Raw genomic sequence first — 25,347 nt, forward strand, 5'->3', positions numbered from 1 at the left:
GCTCACCAGCCTAGTGGGGCTCTTGGCTCCTGGCAGGTTGCTGCCTTCCGTGCCCACCATGGCTCAGGGCTCTACTCTCATCTGTGCCATTCTGGTACCCACAGCCCTTAGAGCAAGTATTTTTCTATTTCCACTCAAAAATTAAAAAGCTCTATGGCAAACTCCCGACATCGAGCTGCTGATGTGGGTGGCCCGAGCGGTTAGTGTGTTGGTTAGAAAGTTGCTATGCCGGACAGGATTGCCCTGGACTCTCAAACTGTATTTTCATGGACCGCTTCTTTTTTTAGTCCTTTCTGTAGAGTGCCAGGTTTTTCAGGAATGAGTATACCGTGTTTTAGCAGTGACACTTGTCTTATTAGTTGCTACCTTTCGTTTCCTGATGAACTCATCTTGGTCTAGATTGTTGAGGGCCTTGACAATAAAAGGAAAATCATTCAAATAAGAATAATTTCAATAAGGCCAAGATAGAATGTTTTCAAGGACAATCATGGCCTGAAGATACAGTGGCAATAAAGGTATTTTGAATAAAGTAACACCCACGGACTGGGCGTGGTGGCTCATGCCTTAATACCAGCACTTTGGGAGACTGAGGCAGGCAGATTGCTTGAGTTCAGGAATTTGAGCTCAGCCTGGGCAACAACGGCAAAACCTTGTCTCTACTAAAAATACAAAAAATTAGCCGGGTGTGCTGGCATGCGCCTATAGTCCCAGCTACTCGGGAGGCTGAGGTGGGAGAATCAACTGAGCCTGGGAGGTTGAGGCTGCAGTGAACCAAGATCACACCACTGCACTCCAGTCTTGACAACCAGAGTGAGATGCTGTCTCAAGAAATAAAAAATACAAATAAAAAATTTGTTAAAAAAAAAGTAGCACCCAGCACCAAAGAGGAAATAATGATTTCCTGTAGACATAAGGCTAACCAGTGTTTATAATGAAAAGATAACCTCCCTTCAGAGTCCTCCCAAGCTTAGGTGAATTGTGAGCAGGAGTAGTGAATTTCAAAATAATACACCTAGATTACTCTAAGAACAAATATTTCTTTTGACTTCACTTACAATTTTAAACAAAAGCAGAAGTTACCAAAGATTACTTATCTTCATATTTACCACAATCTTCTTACCCCAACCCCCATGTCTGTGTGTGATTAAAGGAAGCTTGTCAAGTAAGCTACCTAGTTAGTGCTCAGAATGAGAGACTGTGTGTTGGGAGTTGGGGGACTGCTTGTGTGAAACACTTCTCTCTTCTGGATTTAAAACTTAGTCTTTGTTGCCAGTCTGTTAACAGACAGTTTGTAAATGAAGTGGAAGAAAAAATATAAATTAGCTTTCTAATAAATCTGAAATTACAAATGTGAACCAAAGCAGGGAATAAATACTTGACCAAAAATATGTAAGTAAGTGGGGGTTGGGGAATTACAATTTTTAAATATCTCAAGTTTTTGCTATGAAAGTTCTATTTCAAAGTTCTTCAAAATGATGTCTGATGTTCCTGCATACTGTGTTCCAAATTTATGTAAATACAAGATGGAAATTGTGAAGTATGTGCCTTCAAAAAAGAAAAAAAAAACACTGACATTTTATCTATATATATTTAGTAGACTTATGAAGAACATATATAAACATATATAAATATATCATCAAGGAAGATTTAGGATATATGAATATGTGGCAAGGTTGGAAAGAACATAATTCTTTCCCAGAAGGGGAAGGGGGAGCTGTACTTAATCGGATCCAGCTACAACATCACTGGAAGTCATTTCTTACCAAAAAGTATCTCCACGGCAAATTCTGGTGGATAAATTTTCCAAGCTTTTTGTTTATGTGGATTATCCAATTCATTTCTTGGTAGATAAAGCCTAAGAATAGAAAAAAAATTATTACATTTTATATTGGGGCTCACCGAAAAGCCACGCAGTTGGGTACCCACGTTAGAGCTGGAAGAAACAAAAAAAAGAAACTCACCATGAATAGAACCCCAGCTCCTTTTTTGTGTCTCGGTTGGCTCCTTCCACCTTTTTGGTGAGACTTAAAAATACTTTAATCTTCAGCAACACATCAGTAACACATGCTGACTCTCTTAGCATTGCTTTATATGGCATTAATGACTTCCAAGTTTAATAAAATATCTAAATTTCTCTCTGTGACAGAAATCAGTCAGGATAGACATGAATGAAAACCCAGGAATAAAATACTATATCTCTTTCAATTTATGTGTGAAGTTGCAATTTTTTGAATTTTTACAATCAGACCTTGGAAATGACCTTGAGCAGTAGGACATAACTCCCACATGCTGAGCGTTCCAATAATGGAACACTAGGCATAAATTGGTTAACCCATTTATGCCTAGTGTTCTAAATGATACAAGTTAGCATTTTTGGCTAAACAACAATCTTATAACTAACAAAAACAGCTTTACCAAGTTGTATGTAAATGTAAATGTTACAGAAATCTTTAGAAATTTATATAAAAGTAAGAATAAAAGTGATCTAGCTTATCACTTCTCCAAAATGAACATAGTGTTTTAAAGGAAAAAGACTGTATCCTTTAGCAAGAACCACTTTCGAGGAGCAGCATCAAGTGAAGTTACATCCAGGTCTCACTTTTTGAGGGACTTTGCTCATGTTAGAAGAAAAAGCTTATTGTTTGTATGCATCCAAAAAAAAAAAAACTTGTAAAAATTTCCGTCAAATCCAAAGTTCACTCTATCAAAATCCATTAAATGTTTTGCATTGCAAGTGTGTAGACCAGAGGTTTAATTTCCTGTTGCCTTGCTGGACTTAAGGAGTTATTCGATCCAGTTCACATTTGAAGAAAAGATTAGGACTGGATGTAACAATAACTATCAATTCATGCCACATATAATCATAGCCACTTCTTCAATTCTGACCTAAATCATTTAAAAAATATTTTGTCCTTTTGTATTGAAGAGTATGGTTGATACCAAAAAAAAATCCCAATTTTTCACCATCACAAAACAAATGCTACTTATAGTGGAGAACTTCTAGACTGAGAAATGAGTTTCCAAATATGGTAGAAGGTTTTTTTGGAACAATAATCTCCAAACCCAATTAATAATTTTTCAGAAAGGTTTCCCAATTCAGTTATTAGAAAGCCACATTTGAATGGCTATTTAAATAGACTATTACTTAATGATATTTTTTAGCTGTATTCCTTAATACTGTGTCTTGTAACTTCTCCTAGATATAAGTGTGTCAGTCAGCTTTTCATCTAGCTGAAGCCTCCCTAGGTCCTGCCTTACTTTAGCACAAAATTTGGTGGTGGTTCGTCATTGGTAAATCAGCACCTACTGACAGGGACCTGACATACTGAAGGTGCTGAGCAGACTCATATTGAACTTCTCCAAGAGGAATTTACTACCACACTTAAGATCTGATTGTAATACTTTTGAACTCATAACACAGTTCTATGGCATGGACCTTGAGGATACTGCAACAGTGGGTCTCAAGAACAAAGGTATTTTTAAAATAACCAGAGTAAGAGGAGTAAGGCAATGAACAATGGTGGCTCAAGGATTTTTTGCTTTCTATAAATTAAGTTTATGACAACCAGCAAAAGACTTGCCATTATGCCTTGTATATAGACATTGAAGATTAGGCTGTTTCTATGGGTTTATATTATATTCATACCTGTTATTTTGAATAAAAGATGTGTTGAACCAGAAGAAAAATGAACAATTGTCACAGTACTTAGGAAGGTTCTAAAAAAAATTTCAAAGTAAAACTGATACCAAGAACTAATCATTCCAAAGAAATTAAAGTTCCTTCCTTTATTCCTTTTTATATTTATCAAACAATTATAACCATTAAATATGTAGCACTCTGCAATCTATAACAATACACTCAAGACACAAAGGAGGAAGCTTTAAGAAAATGCTATTGCATTCTCTTACTGTTTCTATCAAAATTTTCAAGGAATAGTATTTTTTCCATGATAGGTATTTAATTTAAATGCTGCTATTTGAATCTGGTTTAGATAGTGCCAAACAGACTCTACTAAGGACCTATGCCTATATATACCCAACTAGATTGTAGTGAATTCTTATAATTTTTTTGTTGCCTCAGCATCCCTTTTAAATATAAACTGGACTTTCTGATGTCAGGACTTTTCTGATATCAGAAGCGGGGTTCAGTCACCCTCAGCAGTTTCCAGTTCACCTCCTCCCAGTTTCTCCATGTGACTGATCCTGATATCTGCCTTATACAATCTTCTCCTGGTGACCCCTTCATTATGGGACAGCTAGATATAACCTACTTGACTCACCCAACAGACCCCCATACTCTGCAGGGACCACGTGGATATATTAGTGACCACCTCTCAGCCACAGCAGAGACTCATGGCTGCTTGCGTTAAACCAAATTAGACCTCCCTGCAGGAAACCTACTCAGGTCGCACCTTACATCCCAATAAAGGCTTCCACTCTCAGGTCCCTCCCTGTCTCTCGCTATTGCTCCCACCCATCAGTCAAGCACAGGTCTCCTGGATGGCTCCCTCTTCCAGTTGCCCCTGCGAAGTGTGCTGCCCTCTTCTCTCTGGAATTAATAAAAAACTGCTTTGGTTATTTCTTGTGTTGTATTGTGCTGCCTTCTCTGTGTTTCACCCAACTGAGTCGCCCAAACCTAACTCTCTTTCCAGTCAGTGCTCCCAGCTACTAAGGAGGCTGAGGTGGGAGGATTGCTTGAGCCCAGGAGGTTGAAGCTACAGTTAGCTATGATCATGCCACTGCACTCCAGCCTGGGTGACAGAGTGAGACCCTGTCTCAACTTCTTAATTTTTTAAAAAAGATGCAAAACAAAATGTAATCATTGCTATGCAGTAAAACGTACCTTTGGGTTTTTTTTTTTTTAGCATCTTGGCTTTTACTTTTTTTGTGTTTATTTTGTATTTTTTGTATTTGAGAATACATGTAAATTTAGAAAAATTTAGAAAATTTACAATTTAGAAAAAAACAAATGAACAAAAATTATTCAAATTACATATTTTCTTTCAAAAAATTTGTTATAGATCTAATTTATTGTTTTCTTCCCCCTCCCCCTCCCTTGTTTGGAATTGTAGTAAAGCAAATCTTAAATAAAATCATTAGACCAGACAAGAACAATGGCAGAGGCTATTTTGTGATTACTCACTGAAGAGAAAAATTGCACTTTCACATCATCATACAGAGGTGGACTGTCATATACATTAGTTAATACACCGGCTGTTTCAATGTCATGCAGTATCTGTGAATGAACACATGGAATTGAGAACTACAAACCTAGATAACGATAACAAAAGGTCCTTTTCACTTATCATGACTTCCTATATTTATCAAGTACTTTTGGTCTCACAGCCCAATCACTACATGCATAAATAATTATTAATAATCTTTTCTAGTTGCAATACTATTGTGTGTGTGTGTGTGTGTGTGTTTTCGTTTGTTTTTTGTTTTTTGAGACAGAGTCTCACTGTCACCCAGGCTGGAGTGCAGTGGCGTGATCTCGGCTCACGGCAACCTCTGTCTCCCAGGTTCAAGTGATTCTTGTGCCTCAGCCTCCCGAGTAGCTGGGACTATAGGCACATGCCATCATACCCAGCTAATTTTTGAATTTTTAGTAGAGATGGGGTTTCACTATATTAGCCAGGCTGGTCTCAAACTCCTGGCTTCAAGTGATCTGCCTGCCTGGGCCTCCCAAAGTGCTGGATTACAGGCATGAGCCACTGCACCCGGCCTGTTGTTTATGTCTTTTAAAGGCCAACATGTTTGAGTGTTATCATGAACCACTTTTCTTTTTTTTTTTTTTTTTTTGAGACAGAGTCTCACTCTGTCACCAGGCTGGAGTGCAGTGGCATGATCTCGGCTCACTACAACTTCCGCCTCCTGGGTTCAATTGATTCTCCAGCCTCCGCCTCCCAAGTAGCTGGGACTACAGGCATGTGCCACCACACCCAACTAATTTTTGTATTTTTAGTAGAGACAGGGTTTCACCATGTTGGCCAGGATGGTCTCGATCTCTTGACCTCGTGATCCACCTGCCTCGGCCTCCCAAAGTGCTGGGATTACAGGCATGAGCCACTGTGCCTGGTCATGAGGCACTTTTCAAAAGTATTGAATTTTCTATTAGACTTTAATCAATTAAATATTATCATTTAATGTGTGTCATTTGATTTTCATGTGTTAGGGCCTTTTTTGAGAATATATTAAGAAGCTCAATTTTAAAGCTAGCATTGACATTCAAAAAGCAATGCGTAACTCATCATGGTTTTTTATTTTCTAAATTTAAAAATAACAACGGGGGTCTGTAACACTTGGGGGTTGGGCCTGCATGCCCCTCCCAAGGGAGAGGGAGGGTGGGGTCCCCCTGCTCATCATGTTTTATCAGAACTCTTGTGTTTGTCAATGGGATCTTTGAACTTGACCAATGCAGGCTGCTGGATGGAGTGACCAAAGATAGCTCAAGATACTATTTCTTTGACTCACTCTCATATAAATAAAGGCACCCACAGTAAGAAAGGTCTATGCTAGGCCCTGTGGAAAACACAAAAGGAGGTGCAGACTCAGTTGGCCCCTTTTGGGAGCTGTACACATAAGAAACAATAGTAGAATGGTACATAACTTAATCTGTATGATAAAGACTGGGTGTGCTGTTATGCACTATTAGGGGCTAGTTAACAGAAGGTACAGAATGCAAAAATTTCATTAAGGAGGTAGAAATTGAATTGGGCATGAAGCAGTTTAGATAAACGAAGAAGAGCTCTGAAAATAGACTCTAGTCCAAACGGAGGGAAAAAGACCAGCAATAATGCAAAGTAGAAATTAGAAAAATGGGCCAGGAATGGTGGCTCATGCCTGTAATCCTAGCACTTTGTGAGGCTGAGGTGGGCAGATCACCTGAGGTCGGGAGTTTGAGACCAGCCTTGAAGGGGTGGCCTGCCCCTCCACACCTGTGGGTGTTTCTCCTTGGGTGGGATGAGAGACTGAGAAAAGAAAGAGACATAGAGACAAAGTATAGAGAAAGAAAAGTGGGCCCAGGGGACCAGCGCTCAGCAAAGGGAGGACTCACGCTGGCACCAGTTTCTGAGTTCCCTCAGTATTTATTGATCATTATCTCTACCATCTCAGAGAGGGGGATGTGGCAGGACAATAGGGTAATAGTGGGGAGAGGGTCAGCAGGAAAACATGTGAACAAATGTCTCTGTATCATAAACAAGGTTAAGAAAAAGGTGTTGTGCTTTGATGTGCACATACACAAACATCTTGGTGCATTAAAGAGCAGTATTGCCACCAGCATGTCTCACCTCCAGCCCTAAGGCAGTTTTCTCCTATCTCAGTAGATGGAATATACGATCGGGTTTTACACTGAGACATTCCATTGCCCAGGGAGGAGCAGGAGACAGATGCCTTCCTCTTATCTCAACTGCAAAGAGGCCTTCCTCTTTCACTAATCCTCCTCAGCACAGACCATTTATGGGTGTCGGGCTGCAGGACGATCAGATCTTTCCCTTCCCAGGAAGCCATATTTCAGACTATCACCTGGGGAGAAACCTTGGACAATACCTGGCTTTCCTAGGCAGAGGTTCCTGCAGCCTTCCTCAGTGTTTTGTGTCCCTGGGTACTTGAGATTAGGGAGTGGTGATGACTTTTAACAAGTATGCTGCCTTCAAGCATTTGTTTAACAAAGCACATCCTGCATAGCCCTAAATCCATTAAACCTTGAGTCAACACAGCACATGTTTCTGCCAGCACAGCATCTCAAGGCAGAAGAATTTTTCTTAGTACAGAACAAAATGGAGTCTCTTATGTCTACTTCTTTCTATGTAGAAACAGTAACAGTCTGATCTCTCTTTCTTTTGCCCACAAGCCTGACCAACACGGAGAAACCCCATCTCCACTAAAAATACAAAATTAGCCAGGCGTGGTAGTGTATGCCTGTAATCCCAGCTACTTGGGAGGCTGAGGCAGGAGAATCGCTTGCACCCAGGAGGCAGAGGTTGTGGTGAGCCGAGATTGTGCCAATGCACTCCAGCCTGGGCAACAAGAGCAAAACTCTGTCTCAAAAAACAAAAAGAAAAGAAAAAAAATTGGAAAAACAACAACAAACAATATCAGGCAGTGTGGCTCATGTTTATAATCCCAGCACATTGCGAGGCTGAGGTGGACAGGTTGCTTGAGCCCAGGAGTCTGAGACCAGCCTGGGCAACATAGCAAGTCCCAGCCTCTTCAAAACATAAAAAAAAATTGGGGGATTGCTTGAGCTCAAGAGGTTGAGGCTACAGTGAGCCATGATCATGCCACTGCGCTACAGCCTGGGTGACAGAATAAGACCCTGGCTCAAGAAAAAAAAAAAAAAAGTAAAGGAAGAAAGGAAGGAAAGAAAGAAATAAGTTATTTGGTTAGTTATAACCAAATAACTAAATTAGAGTTGTGTTCCAAGAGCCAAAAGGGATGACCCAGTTTATTTGGAATGAAGTCTGCTGGTCAAGCTACTGATGGAAAAAAGCTCAGGTATTACATTAGGGCTATTATATCTTCAGAGCTCGAGCCAAAGAAATAAGAAAGAAGTTGTTGAAAAATATGGTGGGGCATTTCCTATGTGAAAAAGAGGCCTGATAATTATCACATATAACACTTATTTAGTGATTTATAGTTCACAAAGAAACTTTATATATATTATCTAATTGAATTCCCATTACACTTGGATGTGATATTTATTTTACAGATAAAGATGTTGAGCCAAAGGTGTTAACTGGCTCTGACCACGGGCACACAGTGTGTCTTCTGCTCTAGCTACAATTTTTCACAATGAGAGGAATATTTCAGGATGCATATTTCAGGATTCTATACATTGCATTATAGAAGGAGAAAGAAAGGGTAAGGAGACCACTGCAGAAATCTACGCTGAGCAAAGGAGATTCTGGACAATTAGTGGCAGTGAGAACAGAAAGGAAGGAGAACGTAGAAAACTGTCAAAGGCATAATCAACAGAGATGGATGACTAACTGGATTTAGGGGGCCGAGGCAAAGAGAATCAGAGCCCAAGGCGTGAGTGGAAGAATGCTGGTGCCATTTGCAGAAGCAGAGAGAAAGCTCCTTGATAATTCAGACTGGCGAATGCATTTGAGTTGGAGTGGAAACTGTTCATGTTGTAGCTCCTGCATCTAAAACTCAGTGGGTGCTCATAAATAGCTGTTCAGTAAATGAACAAATAATGGTTGAAGTAAGGGGAATGGGTCATCCTTTAAGAATAAAGCATTTGCTAAGAACAGAAAGCCAAGGGTCAGGCCTGGGTGAATGTCCTCAGTTGGGAGAGGCCAAAAAAGCCGGGGGCAGAGTGGGGAGGGGGTGGCAGGGAATAGGGTTAGTAATAGGAGAATTTGAGACAAAGGCCTGGGTAGGAATTCTAAAAGTTTATGGTTATTAGACCATGAAGGATGCTTTCTTACTGTTTCAGAAAAGGTATATAGTTTTAGGCATTTCTTCATTGTAGCAAAACATTGACTACCAGGTCCCTTTTGCTTTGGATAAAGAGGTTCCTCCCCAGTTCATTCACCCTTGCATTGTTTCTCACAGGGTCATCCCACAGAACGTCTGACTTAGAATCACTTGGGACATTGCTAAGTCTATAGATTCCTGGGCCCCAATCCAGATTTCCCGAATCATACTTTGGGGGTACAACCTAGGAATGTAAATCTTTACAAGCTCCTCAGTGGTTTTCATGCACACTAAACTTTTAGAATCAGTGTTATATAATAAAAGATCAAATGACTGAGAAGAAGAGAATATGTTTAAAAATGACCAGATATGTAAATTAAAATCCTTAATACATTCCTGGGAACATGCTCAGTGTTTGTGGAAGTGTGAAAGGCAAAGCAACACTGACCAGAAATAAATTCTGGAAAGCACCCTGAAGAAACTGTTTTGAACAAACAGGTTAATTTATCTCTGGTTTGCATCCAAACCCAGTGACACCAAGTTGGATGGTAACCAGAAAGCGTTATGGAATCTCTTTAGGTGAGTGATAGTTTAGGGAGGTGAACATTGCTGGTTTGACATTCAACCTTAAAAAGAACATCAGAGTTTTTCAGTTCACATGTTTTCTCTTACTGAACAATTTCCTAATGAAGTACTGGAAAAGACAACCTTTTTCTCCATTACTATTTGGAATTTTAGATCACATACATCGCCTGTTCCAACACCTAAATGAAATTAAAAAGTTAGGTTGGTTAGCGTGAACATCAATATGTCTCACCAATTAACATCATGGATTAAAAAGAGAAAAAATTATCCAAGCTAACAATGTATCAATAGTTACTTATTTGGTCTTGCATGGATTTTGTCTTTGAAAGACAAGGCTTCAAGCCTAGTTCTGTCTCTTAAAGCAGATTTTATAAGACTAGAGAAGAGAAAAAATATATATATATAGTTCGGCTTCAAAGACTTAGAATCCCATCACTTTATCTTTCCAGAAAAAATATTTAGGGAAGGTAGGCCGGGCATGGTGGCTCACGCCTAGCACTTTGGGAGGCTGAGGTGGGTGGAGGATTACTTGAGGTCAGGAATCCTAAACCAGCCTGGCCAAGATGGTGAAACCACATCTCTACTAAAAATACAAAAATCAGCCAGACGTGGTGGCACATGCTTGTAATCCTAGCTACTCAGGAGGCTGAGACAGGAGAATTGCTTGAACCCGGGAGGTGGAAGTTGCAGTGAGCCGAGATCACACTACTGCACTCCAGCCTGGGTGACAGAACAAGACTCTGTCTCCAAAAAAAAAAAAAAAAAAAAAGAAAGAAAAAGACAATTCTGGGAAGGTGACTTGCAACCTTTCTTGCTAATATGTTGCTTTCTTCAGACTTCTAATCATAATGATTCTTAATAATAAATACTGGAGTTTAACTACTTTGGCCCTACTTTAAGGCCAGTTCCTGATGCAATCTCTATAAAAATATAGGATAGTTTTATCCAAAAATTCCCGTGGTGTTCAGTATATATTTATAGACAAAGGCTCTTTTGTTCCTTTTTTTCAATTCAAATGACCCACTTCCCTCAGCATTTCCTCAAAGACTTGGTTTCTCAGCCAATTAATTGTTTTATTGCTTTCCTCTCAACTCTACATTAATTTTAATTCAAATATGTACAAAGCTAAAGGTAGAAAATTAAAACAAATATTTTAATAAACTAGTGTATTAATTATCTTTGATTGCTCATCTCATATGCTGTTTGTTTTCTTTTCATTTAGTTTTGTTTTCACTAACACCATGATATTCATTTGTCATTAGAAATCACAGTTTCTTGCCTCAGTTCCCTCTTTCCCATTCCAGGTGCAGAACTTCTTTCTATTGATGTCTACCAGAAATCAGTGAAATGTAGAACTAAACTCAGAAGGCTAAAAATACTAGGCTGTCTGTGTGGACACCAGCATCCTGGCCCCATGGCACCTATAGCACCCAGCACTGGCACCATCTCAGGTCCACAAGCTGGCTGCTAGAAGAGGTTTGCTTTAGGGGTTCCGAAGCATCACCTCCCTGCTACCTCTCTGGCAGTGGGAGTGGTGAGGCCCCATTCCTTCCACACAGACACATCCTGCTTTCCCGCCTCCCCTGAGTGTAAGCTGGGAGTGAGAGGGTTACAGATGGAGGAGAGAGGGGAAAGGGAGAGCCCAGGGTGATGAGAAAAAAATATGCCTCTAAAAGAAGGTGAGAAAATGATACGATACGGAGACACCTCCACCAAGGCAAACTCTGAACTAGAGGTGGTTCTGAGAAATAAGCAGGCTTGAGGGCACATGGGTCCTCCTCCTCCCTCATCAGAGGCTCCCTCTGCCCGGAAAAGTCCACCTGGGTTGAGACCGGAGGAGCAATGAGAACAGGAGAGATGGGAAGGGGATGAAGTCCCCCAAGTTGGTGATGGAAAAGAAAAAGTGAAGAACATCTAAGGGCTGGCAATCAATGGGCAATTGCAGGAGGAGCGGCATAAATAAGGAGGAGTTCCTGTGTGACAATATGTAAAAAGACAGGTATGAGTTAGGCTCATCTGTATATATAACTATGAGCAAAACTCTCCCAGAGTGGGGACATTGGCCCTCCTGCCCAATTCTTCAATTACACATAAAGCACTTAACCACGAATTGAATAAATAATGAATCTTTTTATAAAGAGTATCCGTCTTGGAGGGAGATTCCAGTTGTACAGATGTTTCACTTGTGCAAAATATCCAACATATCTATTGTGAAAAGCAACAGAAATCTTCCTTTAAGTGGAGATGAAGTCTAAAGTCAGCATTCCTTTTTTTTTTTTTTTTGCATAAAGCTTGTTAATGGAGGTAAGTAATTAAGAAAACATTTACTGGATGCCATTATATAACTGGACATTTTTAGGGATGCTGCCCCACAACTATCTACCTTGAGGGAAAAATACTGAATTCAGTGCAATGGGGAAGTAACAAGGATGGAGCCAGGCCCTGTTTATAGGCTGCTTATGGTTGAGAGGGCAACTAATCAGAAGCACAACAAAACAGTTACAGCATCATCAGTGTCCGGATAGAAGCTTAGTTGTGACTGAGTTAGAGGAAGGCTTGTGGTTTGGTGAAGAGCAGCTTCCTGGGCATGAGAGAATGGTATAAGTGAAAACTCCAGAGGAATACCTCCATACCTCAGTAGCAGGTTTCCCATCATTCTTCTCTTGTTCCTGATGCTAGAATTCTTCACTTTGCATTTCCTCAATTCTGTTTTCTCAAGGAAGCCCTGGAATTCTCTCAGCCTTGTCCTTTCCCTGGGGCAAGCTGTTCACAACGGTTCTCCCCTGAATCTTTCTTCAAGGTATTGAAGAGCTCTGGTACTCAATCAACTGGTTCAGAATTCAAAAGTTGGCCATCATGGTGGCTCCCGCCTGTAATCCCAGCACTTCGGGAGGCCGAGGTGGGCAGATCACCTGGCGTCAGGAGTTTGAGACCAGCCTTGCCAACAGGGTGAAACCTTGTCTCTACTAAAAGTACAAAAATAGGCCATGCGTGGTGATGGGCACCTATAATCCCAGCCACTTGGGAGGCTGAGGCAGGAGAATCACTTGAACCCAAGAGGTCGAGGTTGCAGTGAGCTGAGATTGCACCACTGCATTCTAGTCTGGGCGACAGAGCGAGACTCTGTCTCAAAAATTAAAAACAAAACAAAACAAAACAAAACAAAACTCATAGGTTCACAGACTGTTCCTTACCCATTGGGAAATGCTCATTAAAGTAACTAACTGCCATACTTCCCTTTAGAAAGGGCCAGTCATGAGATAGGCTCATGAAAGTCCTCCACTTAGGAGTAGATGTAGTCAGTAGAATGGCCCACAATGCAGGATCAGAATGTGATGGTGTCTGAGAATCACCACCAGACACAGAGGGCACTCTGTCCTGAGGTCTTGCCAACACAGCTCTCAAACGTGCAGCTGAATCCCTTTGTTGCTTTTTTAGTGAATCAGAAGAGATTCAGTTGCAGCTTTGGTGTGCTAGTTCTGGACTAAAGTTAGGGAAACTATGCACGACTGCAGAAGAAATGGGGATGAGGAGATGTGTGGGGGAGAGTTGTTGAAGGAGCTCCACCTAGCATCCCCTTAGCTTCTGCCACTAGATTCTCCACCTTTCCCTAAGGGCTGTAAACCACCAGGGCCCTCAAGCTGCTTGTGCTCCCACGCTTCCTTCTCCTACAACTTAAAACAACATGGACTTGTAGTAGAAATTAATACAACCAACACATAGGAGGCACTCACTACAAACAACAAGATATTATGAGAAAAGGGTGGAAAGATGGGTAAGCCATGGGCTTTGCCTTTAAAGGGGATACAGAAGTCACCACTTCAAATAACTAGAGAATGATGCAAAGTGACATAGTCCCTAAAAGAAACACAAAGGGCTCTAAGAATTGAAAAAGCAAGAGACTACTTCAGGCTGAGAAGGGAAAGGGACTCTAGGAAAAGGGGCATGAGCAACGGCATGAGGGTATCAAGTGTCCATAGGCTGGGAAAGAGCACACAGTCTAAATGTGTTGGAGTATGGGATGTGTGCATGCACATAGTGGAAGAGAAGGTTGGAAAAGTCAAACTGTGGCTCTTGAGTGCCAGGTTGAAACGTTTAGTTTATTGCCATTGGCAGTGGGGACATAGTATGGATTTTGAGCATGGAAATGGCATGATTAGGGCTGCACTTCAGTAAATTCACTTATCACTTTTAGCTTAGGGTCTATGAATATCTTTGTTTTGTTTTGTTTTGTTTTGGGCTTGGGTGTGGGAGAAAAGTATCAGTGGATAAGGCTGAGTTCTTCTGGCCCAAACTAAAGGTTTAGGGCCAGTAGTTAGAGTGTTCTTCTAACGGGGCCAAGAGTACTTACTCAGCTCCCACCACTTAAAGAAAAACTCATTTACAGCCACATCCAAATCCATTTCGGAATTCCCAACCCACTCTCACTTCAGTTTCAGGGGCAATATAGAAAAGGCAATATAAATGAGAAGCTGTGCACAAAAAGGGCTTCAGAGACTGACATCTAGATTTCAGTCCTTGGTTCAAAAGTTACTTTCTATGAACCTCAATTTTCTAATTTATAAGATGAGAATCATAGTAGTGCCTACTCATAGAGTTACTGAGAATATTAAATGAGATAGTGAATATAGAACTCTTAGAATAGTTCAGCAAAGTCTAGAATGTTGTAAATGCTATAGGATAAACATCCTGGTTTCTGCAATAAACAAATTACAAGTAATAAAAAATGGTGAGAAATCTATAAACTCAGATTCTTAAAAGAGACTTAGGAGACACAGCAACCAAATGAAATGTGTGGACTTTGTTTGAATTCTGATTAAACAAACTAAATTTTCAAAGATTTTAAGACAATTTTGGAAACAAACATGGAGTACAAATTTGATATGAAGGATTTTTAAGGTATAATATTTTTAGATATGATAAAAAGTGTTAAGGTTTTTTGTTGTTGTTTTAAGAGTACTTAAATGTCATAAAATGCTGTGGGATAAAATGATCTGATGACTGAAATTTCCTTTAAAATAACTCAGATTTAGGGAAAGCAAGAGTGGAGAGTGGGGTTGAGGGGTGTGAGTGGAGTGGGAAAGAACGGATGAAATGTGGCTGGCTGCCGGCTGAAATGACTGTTGCAGCAATGTGACGACTATATGTGGATATATTGTATGATTCTCTGGACTTTTGTATATGATTAAAATTCTCTATAACAAAATGTTTCTAAAAGAAAAAACAGAGTAACAGTGTATATTTCATATAGGTGTTATGGGTATTAAATGATATATGTAAAAGTGCAATACTGTCTGGGATACAGAAGGGGTTTTGAAAAGTTTATTTCTCCTTTTATTTTCTCTTTTAAAATACACCTCCCCCACAACACACAGAAAAGACACACACACACACACACACACACACACACACACACACACCAGGAGTCATCCAAAAACAGTCTTTGTAATGTTCTGCAAGGGTTGAATTGCCCTAGTAAGGGTTTGTGAAAGACTTGGATCTTTTTTACATTGAAATCAAAGGCTGGTGATTTTAGATACACTTCAGGGTCCTGGAGCCTTGGGTACTGGACCTTCCTACTTTGGGAAAATAATCAACTCCTGAGCTCCATAAACAATAACCAGTATAGAATAGAAAGCAGGATTCTCTGAGGAGAAGCCAGAGTCCCCAGCATGTGGGCAGCACCTAAAGCGTGACCCTCAGACTCAGGGAGGGACCAAGGCCTGTTGCAGGGCACCCAACTGCTGCTGCCTGATCACCAAAGGAGAAGAGTCTAAAGTGAAACCAAATAACAGGTGGCAATCTTAACCCACTCCCCTAAAAAAAAAACTCCCATTTTTAAAAAGAAAACTTACCTGAGAAGGAGTTTCTAGTCCCTGAAATTTACTGCTGTGGGTTTTATCTGTTTGCCTTTCTCCAAAATAATACAGGCTTTCCTGCAAAAAAGGGTACAATCCAACCATGGTTCATCTGCACTCTTTCCTTTCCTATATTAGGTACCCTTAGGGTTTCTACGCCTACCTTCTTTCCTAAAGTCAGTGATTTTGTTTGTTTGTTTGTTTGTTTTTTGGTAGAGTCTTGCTCTGTAACCCAGACTGGAGTACAGTGGCAGGATCTAAGCTCACTGCAACCTCTGCCTCCTGGGTTCAAGTGATTCTACTGCCTCAGCCTTCTGAGTAGCTGAGACTACAGGTGTGTACCACCATGCCCAGCTAATTTTTTGTATTTTTAGTAGAGATAGGGGTTTCACCATGTTGGCCAGGCTGCTCTCAAACTCCTGACGTCAAGAGATCCACCTGCCTCAGCCTCCCAAAGTGCTGGGATTACAGGCGTGAGCCACCCGTGCCCGGCCGAGTGATCTTTGGGCAGAAGCTACCGAAAATAACAAAATTAGGACTTCTCTCATTCAAGGATTCATACATTCATAAAATTTTAGAGCTGGAAAGACCTTAGAAAGCATCTGGTCCAACCCTTCTTTCCATATTACAAATGACAACACTGAAACCAAAAGAAAACCAAGCAACCTGCCAAGGAGATGCTGCAGCCAGTTAGAAGCAGCACAGGTCTGGAATACAGGTCCCTGGATCTCAGTCTAGGGCTCCGGATCAATGGCTGTCAATGACTTTCAAACCTTTTGTTTTTTAAGCTGCAATCCACATTAATAAACCTAGGAGACACACACACACACACACACACACACACACACACACACACACACACACCCCCCAATATTTAAACCTTTTGATATTTTCTATTCTGCTCTATTCCATTTTATTTTTAAAAGATGTCAGTTACAACCCAGTAACTTTATTTTACAACTCACTGATAAATCATGATCCATAGCTTGAAAAACACCATCCTAGAACACCCATTTTCAAAATCTTTGTATCTCAAATTAGAGAAAGCAAAGGTGGTGGAATGGGAGTGCTGGGCATTGTGCACAACCACCACCTCTTCCCTAGACTGCAGGCCAAACAACTCGAGCAGAGCTGCTGGAAATGGTAGCATCTCAGCAAGAAAATGGCAGAAAGAAAAATGATTGAGAACTCTGCTTTAAGTGGAAACAGCCCACCTTGTCTTATCAGAAATTTCTAGAGGTCACAGACTCCACATGTATTGACTAAGCAAAGATATTTACATTCAGGAGAGGCTTTGTTTTGAGTTGTGAAATGTTGCTTTTTATCTACCTAAGAGTTGTGAGGATGGGCAAGGCTCTTTGGAGAATTTATCTAATTAAGCTTGATACTATTCTCACGAGGAAGGAAGAAGTCATGGTACTGGCAGGAGTAAGAGCAGAGCCAGGTGAAGTGAGGGAAGTATCTTGATTACTGAATTTTTTTTCTGTGTAACATGGCTTTACTCCCCTCACCTTAATCCTGCCCCATCAGGTCTTGTCTTTATTTAAAATGTTGATATTGTATACAGCATAGATATTTTGCATTAATTTTTATTAAAATATTGCGTTAAAATTATTTATTTTAATTATTACAATTTTTAGCATTCCCTTAAATGTTGCACCTCATTGACCTCACTCTAGTCCTGGCCCAAAGAGATTCTGCAGTCAGCTACTAACTAGTGCACATTAAACAAGAAAGTATCAAAAACAGACTTTCTAAAAACTGCTTCTCTAATTACAGTTTTACTAAGCACCATGAATCAAATAATCATCTTAACGTCCTACCAGCGATGTTTCAGAACTAGCAAACTCAATCATCATAAGACAAATTTTGTAGAACATCTTTCATACCTCTGCAGTTAAAAATATTTTGGAGGCAATAAGGCAGGCACAAACCATAGTTCCGGTTCTTCCTAGAAAAGAAAAGTATTTCAAGGAACATACGTGGTATAAAAATACACTCAGAAATATTCAAGGAGTGCATTTTAAGTTGATTTTTCTTTTTTTTGAGACAGGGTCTTGTGTCACGCAGGCTGGAGTGCAGTGGCACAATCTTGGCTCATTGCAACCTCTGCCTCACAGGTGAAAAATACGCAAATTACATTTACAGTAAAAATATCTCTCACCATCTCTCCATAAAAGGACACGATGAGGTTTTTACTAAATCTGTAAGAAAGCAACAATTATGTCTTTTATAATTTTTTTGGATAATAGTAAAAAAGAAAAATTCCCAACTCATTGAGTACATTAATATAACTGATTCCAAAATTGCACAAATACAGTAGGATATTTTTACACCAGTCTCACATATAAATGTAGATTTTAAAATATACATATATTTTCAAAGTGAATTCAGCAACGTAGAAACACCATGTATCAACACCAAGTGCCATTTCTCTTAAGGATGCAAGGATTTTTTTCCAAGATGGCAGATTACAGGCTTTTAGCATGCCTCAGTCATTTGGAAATAGCAAGCAAGTACATAAAGACCAACTCTGTGAGCTTTAATTCAAGAAAGAAAATGGCAATTCCCCAGAATGATGAAGGACATCCCAGATCCTGGGGAGGACATTGCAGGCAAGCAGCCCTCAGGACAGCATTTGACTGATAAAAGTGAGTGAAGCCTCAGTATGTGAGAGAGGCAGACAGCATCCCTCTGTCTCACCTTTCCACTGGAGATCCACGCAACCCGGGCAGAGGAAGAGATTGTTTCTCCCAAACCTTGACGATCATTTGAGGAAAGACTTGGAGACTTTGTGGGGGAAAGACACAGGGAAACGCTGCCGGCATTGTCCCAAACCTGGACTGGGAGCAGGACAACACTGGGGGAATCTTCCCTATCTGGCTCCACCCATCTTGTGCCCCCAATCCCCCTACCCCTAGGGCTGAGGGAGCTCAGATTAATGTGTACTCAGGAAATCAGCCCATTCCTGGGGCAGCAGAGAGCTCCTCCCAATAAACAAGGATCAAGTACACAGCCAGCAGCACTGGCAACAGCCAGCTCTTACCCATGGCGCCATCTACTGGCTTGTAGGTCAAACCACACACCCAATATAAAACCTGCTGGCAGAAGTGCATAGGGCTACAGAAGCAAAGCCAAAAGACCCTACCCAGCATGCTCTACAGCCACACCCCCTAGAGAGGAGGGAAAGGGAAAGAAGAAAAAAAATAACAATAATATTATAGAAAAGGAAAGAAAAAGAAAAAATCCTACCCAAACAAAAATAATTACACAAATTAGAAGTGCTAGCATCTCCAGATGAGAGGGACCCACGCAAGAATTCTGGCACCATGAGAAATCTGAATGTAGTGACACTACCAAAGGATCACACTAGCTCTCTGGCAATGCTTCGTGCCAAAATGAAAACTCAGAGATGACAATAAACATTTCAAAGCTTGGGTTGCAAGGAAGCTCAATGAGATTCAAGGTTGAAATCAACAAAAAGAAACTTCTACATCAATCCAGGAAATGAAGGAAGAGATAAACATCTTAATAAGAAATCAATCAGAACTTCTAGAATTAAAAAAACTCACTTAAGGAACTTCAAAATACAACTGAAAGCTTTATCAATAGACTGGACAAAGTAGAAAACATAATTTCAGAGCTTGAAGACTGGTCTTTTGAACTAATCCAGTCAGACAAAGATAAAGAAAAAAGATTTTTTAAAAGTGAAGAAAGTCAGAAATATGAGATTATGTAAAGTGATCAAACCTACGAATTACTGGCATGCCCTAGAGAGAAACAGAAAAAGAAAACAGCCTGGAAAACATATTTGATGGAATAATTCAAGAAAATTTATTGAATCTTGCTAGATAGACATCTAAGTACAATAAAGCCAGACAGCACCTGTGAGATACTATAAAAAATGAACATTACCAAGGCATATACTCACCAGACTGTCCAAGGTCACTGTCAAAGAAAAAGCCCTAAAGGCACTGGAGAAAAAGGCCAGATCACATACAAAGGTAGCCCCATCAGGATAACAGCAGACTTCTCAGCAGAAACCTTAGAAGCCAGGAGAGATTGAGGGATCTATTTTCAGAATTGTTAAAGAAAATAAATTATAATCAACAGATTCATATCCTGCCAAACTAAGCTTCATGAGTGAAGGAGAAATAAAAACATTTTTCTTTTTTTTTTTTTTAAATTTATTTTTTATTTATTTTTTTTTATTGATCATTCTTGGGTGTTTCTCGCAGAGGGGGATTTGGCAGGGTCATAGGACAATAGTGGAGGGAAGGTCAGCAGATAAACAAGTGAACAAAGGTCTCTGGTTTTCCTAGGCAGAGTGTGTGTGTCCCTGGGTACTTGAGATTAGGGAATGGTGATGACTCTTAACGAGTATGCTGCCTTCAAGCATCTGTTTAACAAAGCACATCTTGCACCGCCCTTAATCCATTTAACCCTGAGTGGACACAGCACATGTTTCAGAGAGCACAGGGTTGGGGGTAAGGTCACAGATCAACAGGATCCAAAGGCAGAAGAATTTTTCTTAGTACAGAACAAAATGAAAAGTCTCCCATGTCTACTTCTTTCTACACAGACACAGCAACCATCCGATTTCTCAATCTTTTCCCCACCTTTCCCCCTTTTCTATTCCACAAAACCGCCACTGTCATCATGGCCCGTTCTCAATGAGCTGTTGGGTACACCTCCCAGACGGGGTGGTGGCCGGGCAGAGGGGCTCCTCACTTTCCAGTAGGGGTGGCCGGGCAGAGGCGCCCCTCACCTCCCGGACGGGGCGGCTGGCCGGGCAGGGGGCTGACCCCCCCCTACCTCCCTCCCGGACGGGGCGGCTGGCCGGGCGGGGGGCTGACCCCCCCACCTCCCTCCCGGACGGGGCGTCTCGCCTGGCGGGGGGCTGACCCCCCCACCTCCCTTCCGGACGGGGTGGCTGCCGGGCGGAGACGCTCCTCACTTCCCAGACGGGGTGGCAGCCGGGCGGAGGGGCTCCTCACTTCTCAGATGGGGCGGCTGCCGGGCGGAGGGTCTCCTCACTTCTCAGACGGGGCAGCGGGGCAGAGGCGCTCCCCACATCTCAGACGATGGGCGGCCGGGCAGAGACGCTCCTCACTTCCTAGATGGGATGGCGGCCGGGAAGAGGCGCTCCTCACTTCCTAGATGGGATGGCGGCCGGGCAGAGACGCTCCTCACTTTCCAGACTGGGCAGCCAGGCAGAGGGGCTCCTCACATCCCAGACAATGGGTGGCCAGGCAGAGACGCACCTCACTTCCCAGACGGGGTAGCGGCCGGGCAGAGGCTGCAATCTCGGCACTTTGGGGGGCCAAGGCAGGCGGCTGGGAGGTGGAGGTTGTAGCCGAGATCACGCCACTGCACTCCAGCCTGGGCACCATTGAGCACTGAGTTAACGAGACTCCATCTGCAATCCCAGCACCTCGGGAGGCCGAGGCTGGCGGATCACTCGCGGTTAGGAGCTGGAGACCAGCCCGGCCAACACAGCGAAACCCCGTCTCCACCAAAAAAATACGAAAACCCGTCAGGCGTGGCGGCGCGCGCCTGCAATCGCAGGCACTGGGCAGGCTGAGGCAGGAGAATCAGGCAGGGAGGTTGCAGTGAGCCGAGATGGCAGCAGCACAGTCCAGCTTCGGCTCGGCATGAGAGGGAGACCGTGGAAAGAGAGGGAGAGGGAGAGGGAGACCGTGGAAAGAGAGGGAGAGGGAGAGGGAGCATAAAAACATTTTTCTAGAGAAGCAAATGCCAAGAGAGTTCATTACCACTAGACCAGTCTTACAAGAGATGCCTAAGGGAGTTCTAAACATGGAAATGAAAGAATGATACCTGCTATCATAAAAACACACTTAAGTACACAGCTCACAGACCCTATAAAACAACCATACAATAGAAAGTACAAAAAAACCAGCTAACAATTTCATGATAGGGTGAAAAGCTCACATGTCAATAGTAACCTTGAATGTAAACACACCACTTAAAAGTCACAGAGTGGGCTGGGTGCGGTGGCTATTCCTGTAATCCCAGCACTTTGGGAGGCCAAAGCAGGCAGATCACAAGGTCAGGAGATCGAGACCATCCTGGCCAATGTGGTGAAACCCTGTCTCTACTAAAAATATAAAAATTAGCCAGGCGTGATGGCACATGCCTATAATCCCAGCTACTCAGGAGGCTGAGGCAGGAGAATCACTTGAACCTGGGAGTCAGAGGTTGCAGTGAGCCAATATCATGCCACTGCACTCTAGCCTGATGACAGAGTGAGATTCTGAAATAAATAAATAAATAAATAAATAAATAAATAAATAAAGTCACAGAGTGGCAAGTTGGATTAAAAAAACAAAACCCATCTGTCTGCTGTCTTCAAGAGACCCATCTCACATGTAACAACACCAATAGGTTCAAAGTAAAGGGTTGAAGAAAGATCTGTCACACAAACAAAACACAAAAAAGAGCAGGGGTCACTATTCCTAAAACAGATAAAACAAGCTTTAAACCAACAATAGTAAAAAAGGACAAAGAAGAGCATTACATAATGATACGGAGTTCAATTCAACAAGAAGCCTTAACTATCCTAAATATATATGCACCCAACATTGGCTCACCCAGGTTAATAAAACAGATACTTCTAGACCTATGAAAAGACTTAGCCACACAATAGTCAGGGGACTTCAACACCCCACTGATAACATTACACAGATCATAAAGACGGAAAACTAACAAAGAAATTCTGGACTTAAATTCAACACTTGATCAATTGGACCTAATAGAAACCTAAAGAACTCCCAGCATTTTGGGAAGCTGAGGTGGGTGGGCGGATCACGAGGTCAGGAGTTTGAGACCAGCCTGGCCAATATGGTGAAAACCCATTGCTACTAAAAATACAAAAATTAGCCTGGTGTGGTGGCAGGTGCCTGTAATCCTAGCTACTCGGGAGGCTGAGGCAGAAGAATTGCTTGAACCCAGGAGGCAGAGGTTGCAATGAGCCGAGATCATGCCACTGCACTCCAGCCTGGACAACAGAGTAAGACTCAATCTCGAAAAAAAAAACACCTACGAACCAAGAAGGCCCAGATCAGATGTATTCACAGCTGAATTCTATCAACTATACAAAGAAGAACTGGTACCAGTTCTACTGAAACTATTCTAAAAAATTGAGGAGGGACTCTTCCCTAATTCATTCCATGAATCCTGCATCACCCTGAAACCAAAACCTGGCAAAGACACAATAAAAAAAAGAAAACTAAAAGGTAATCTCAATGATGAAGACAGCCACAAAAATCCTTAACAAAATACTGGCGAACCAAATCCAACAGCACATCAAAAAGTTCATGATCAAGTAAGCTTCATTCCAAGGATACAAGGTTCAGCATATGCAAACCAATAAATGTGATTCACCACACAAACAGAATTAAACAGAAACCACATGATCATCTCAACAGATGCAGAAAAAAAAGCTTTTGATAAAATCCAACATCTTTCTTGATAAAAAAAAAACACTCAAGAAACGAGGAATCAAAGGAACATACTTCAAAATAGAGCCATGGGCCAGGTGCAGTGGCTCACATCTGTAATCCCAGCACTTTGGGAGGCCAAGGCAGGCAGATCACTTGAGGTCAGGGGTTCAAGACCAGCCTGGCCAACATAGTGAAACTCCGTCTTTACTAAAAATACAAAAATTAGCCAGGCGTGGCGGCACATACCTGTAATCCCAGTGACTCAGAAGGCTGAGGCAGGAGAATTGCTTGAACCCAGGAGGCGGAGGTTGCAGTGACCGAGATTGCACCACTGCATTCCAGCGTGGGTGACAGAGCAAGACTCCATCTCAAAAAACAAACAAACAAACAAACAAAAAAAACAGGCTGGGCGCGGTGGCTCATTCCTGTAATCCCAGCACTTTAGGAGGCTGAGGTGGGTAGATCACCTGAGGTCAGGAGTTCGAGAGCAGCCTGGCCAACTTGGTGAAACCCCATCTCTACTAAAAATACAAAAATTAGCTGGGCGTTGTGGCAGGCGCTTGTAATCCCAGCTACTTGGGAGGATGAGGCAGGAGAATCACTTGAACCTGGGAGGTGGAGGTTGCAGTGAGCCAAGATTGCACCACTGGACTCCAGCCTGGGCAAGAAGAGTGAAACTCCATCTCAAAAAAAAAAAAAAAAAAAGAAATCATTTCCTTTGCAGCATCATGGATGCAGCTGGAAGTCATTATCCTGAGCAAATTAATGCAGGAACAAAAAACCAAATACCATATGTTCTCACTCATAAGTGAAAGCTAAACAATGGGTGCTCATGGACATCAAGGTGGCAATAATGGACCCTGGGGAGTTCTAGAGGGGGCACAGCAGAAAAGGGCACAGGATGAAAAACTAACTATTGGGTCCTGTGCTCAGTACCTGGGTGATGCGATCACTCACACCCCAAACCTCAGCATCACACAATATTACCAATAAACCTGCATATGTACTTCCAAATCTAAAAGTTAAATTATACCAAAAATCTAAGCTCAAAAAGAAAAAAGTCTTTTGCCCATTAAAAAACAAATAATAGAAAATACAAGAATCATCCTATATCAGAAATCTATGTTAATGCAATTTATCATATTCATTGATTAAAGAAGACATACCTTACAATTATCTCAATTAATGTAGGAAAAAGCATTCACTAACATTCAGCCTGCACCTGTGACTTTAAAAATTAACAACAACTAGGAAACTTCCTTAACTCAACAAAGAGAATCTACCAAAATACCTACCAGGAACATCATATTAATGACATAATATTGACAGCGTTTTCTTTAAAGCCTGGCATTAAACAAAAATGCCCTCTCTTCACTGCTTCCATTTAACACTATACTGCAGAGCCTAACCAGTGTAGAAAGTCAGTGTAGTAAGTAAATCTATAGAATAACTCCTTAATCTAATGAGAGAGTTTAGGAAGATTTCTAGATGCAGGCTCAACATAAACAAAAATTAATAGCTAAATCAAGGATGCAGGTTGAAATCTTTACAGTAATTAATAAAAACATAGAAAAGGAGTATATGACTTCCAAGGTAATGACAGAGGGTGAGAAGGAAAGAATTATATTATTAAAATTCAATCGAACGAAAACAGAATGTCAGTAGGAAAATAGAAGAGTTAAATAAAATAGATGTACATAGAACGCTGTTCTCAACAATGCATAATACATGTTCTTTTCAAATGTACACAAAACATTTGACAATATTGACCAAATTCTGGGCCATAAAGCAAATCTAAACAAATTTCAAAGAACTAAAAAAGAAAAAAATACATAGTATGTTCTGTGTCCACAACACAATATAATCAGAAATAAAAAATTTAAAGATAAATACAAAATTCTCATATGTTTGGAAATAAGGAAGTATACCTCTACATAACTCATGGGTCAAAAAAAAAACAAGCACAAAGTTGGAACATAGTTTGAACTAAGTAAAATAAAAACACTACAAATAAA

At 41.2% G+C, this 25,347-nt stretch overlaps 1 pseudogene across 2 annotated transcripts in view, besides 2 other annotated features; it reads right to left on the reverse strand.

Moving 5' to 3' along the window:
* Positions 1-18,851, reverse strand: part of TPTE2P1 (TPTE2 pseudogene 1) — a 39,730-nt pseudogene extending 20,879 nt beyond the window's left edge. For both annotated transcript variants that reach the window (NR_026730.2, NR_178209.1), the window contains exons 1-2: positions 18,573-18,851; positions 1,764-1,855 (exon numbers count right to left, since the gene is read on the reverse strand). The product of NR_026730.2 is annotated as a TPTE2 pseudogene 1, transcript variant 2 (transcript). The remainder of the gene's footprint in view (positions 1-1,763; positions 1,856-18,572) is intronic.
* Positions 7,424-8,003: an enhancer, noted in NCBI's record as "OCT4-NANOG-H3K27ac-H3K4me1 hESC enhancer chr13:25531195-25531774 (GRCh37/hg19 assembly coordinates)". NCBI's record gives its function as "activates a minimal SCP1, AML or CMV promoter by ChIP-STARR-seq in primed H9 embryonic stem cells {active_cell/tissue: H9 hESC(primed)}" and the evidence as "EXISTENCE:reporter gene assay evidence [ECO:0000049][PMID:30033119]".
* Positions 19,962-20,869: an enhancer, noted in NCBI's record as "NANOG-H3K27ac-H3K4me1 hESC enhancer chr13:25543733-25544640 (GRCh37/hg19 assembly coordinates)". NCBI's record gives its function as "activates a minimal SCP1, AML or CMV promoter by ChIP-STARR-seq in naive H9 embryonic stem cells {active_cell/tissue: H9 hESC(naive)}" and the evidence as "EXISTENCE:reporter gene assay evidence [ECO:0000049][PMID:30033119]".

Source organism: Homo sapiens, chromosome 13, assembly GCF_000001405.40.
Source record: "Homo sapiens chromosome 13, GRCh38.p14 Primary Assembly".
Classification (NCBI taxonomy): Eukaryota; Metazoa; Chordata; class Mammalia; order Primates; family Hominidae; genus Homo; species Homo sapiens.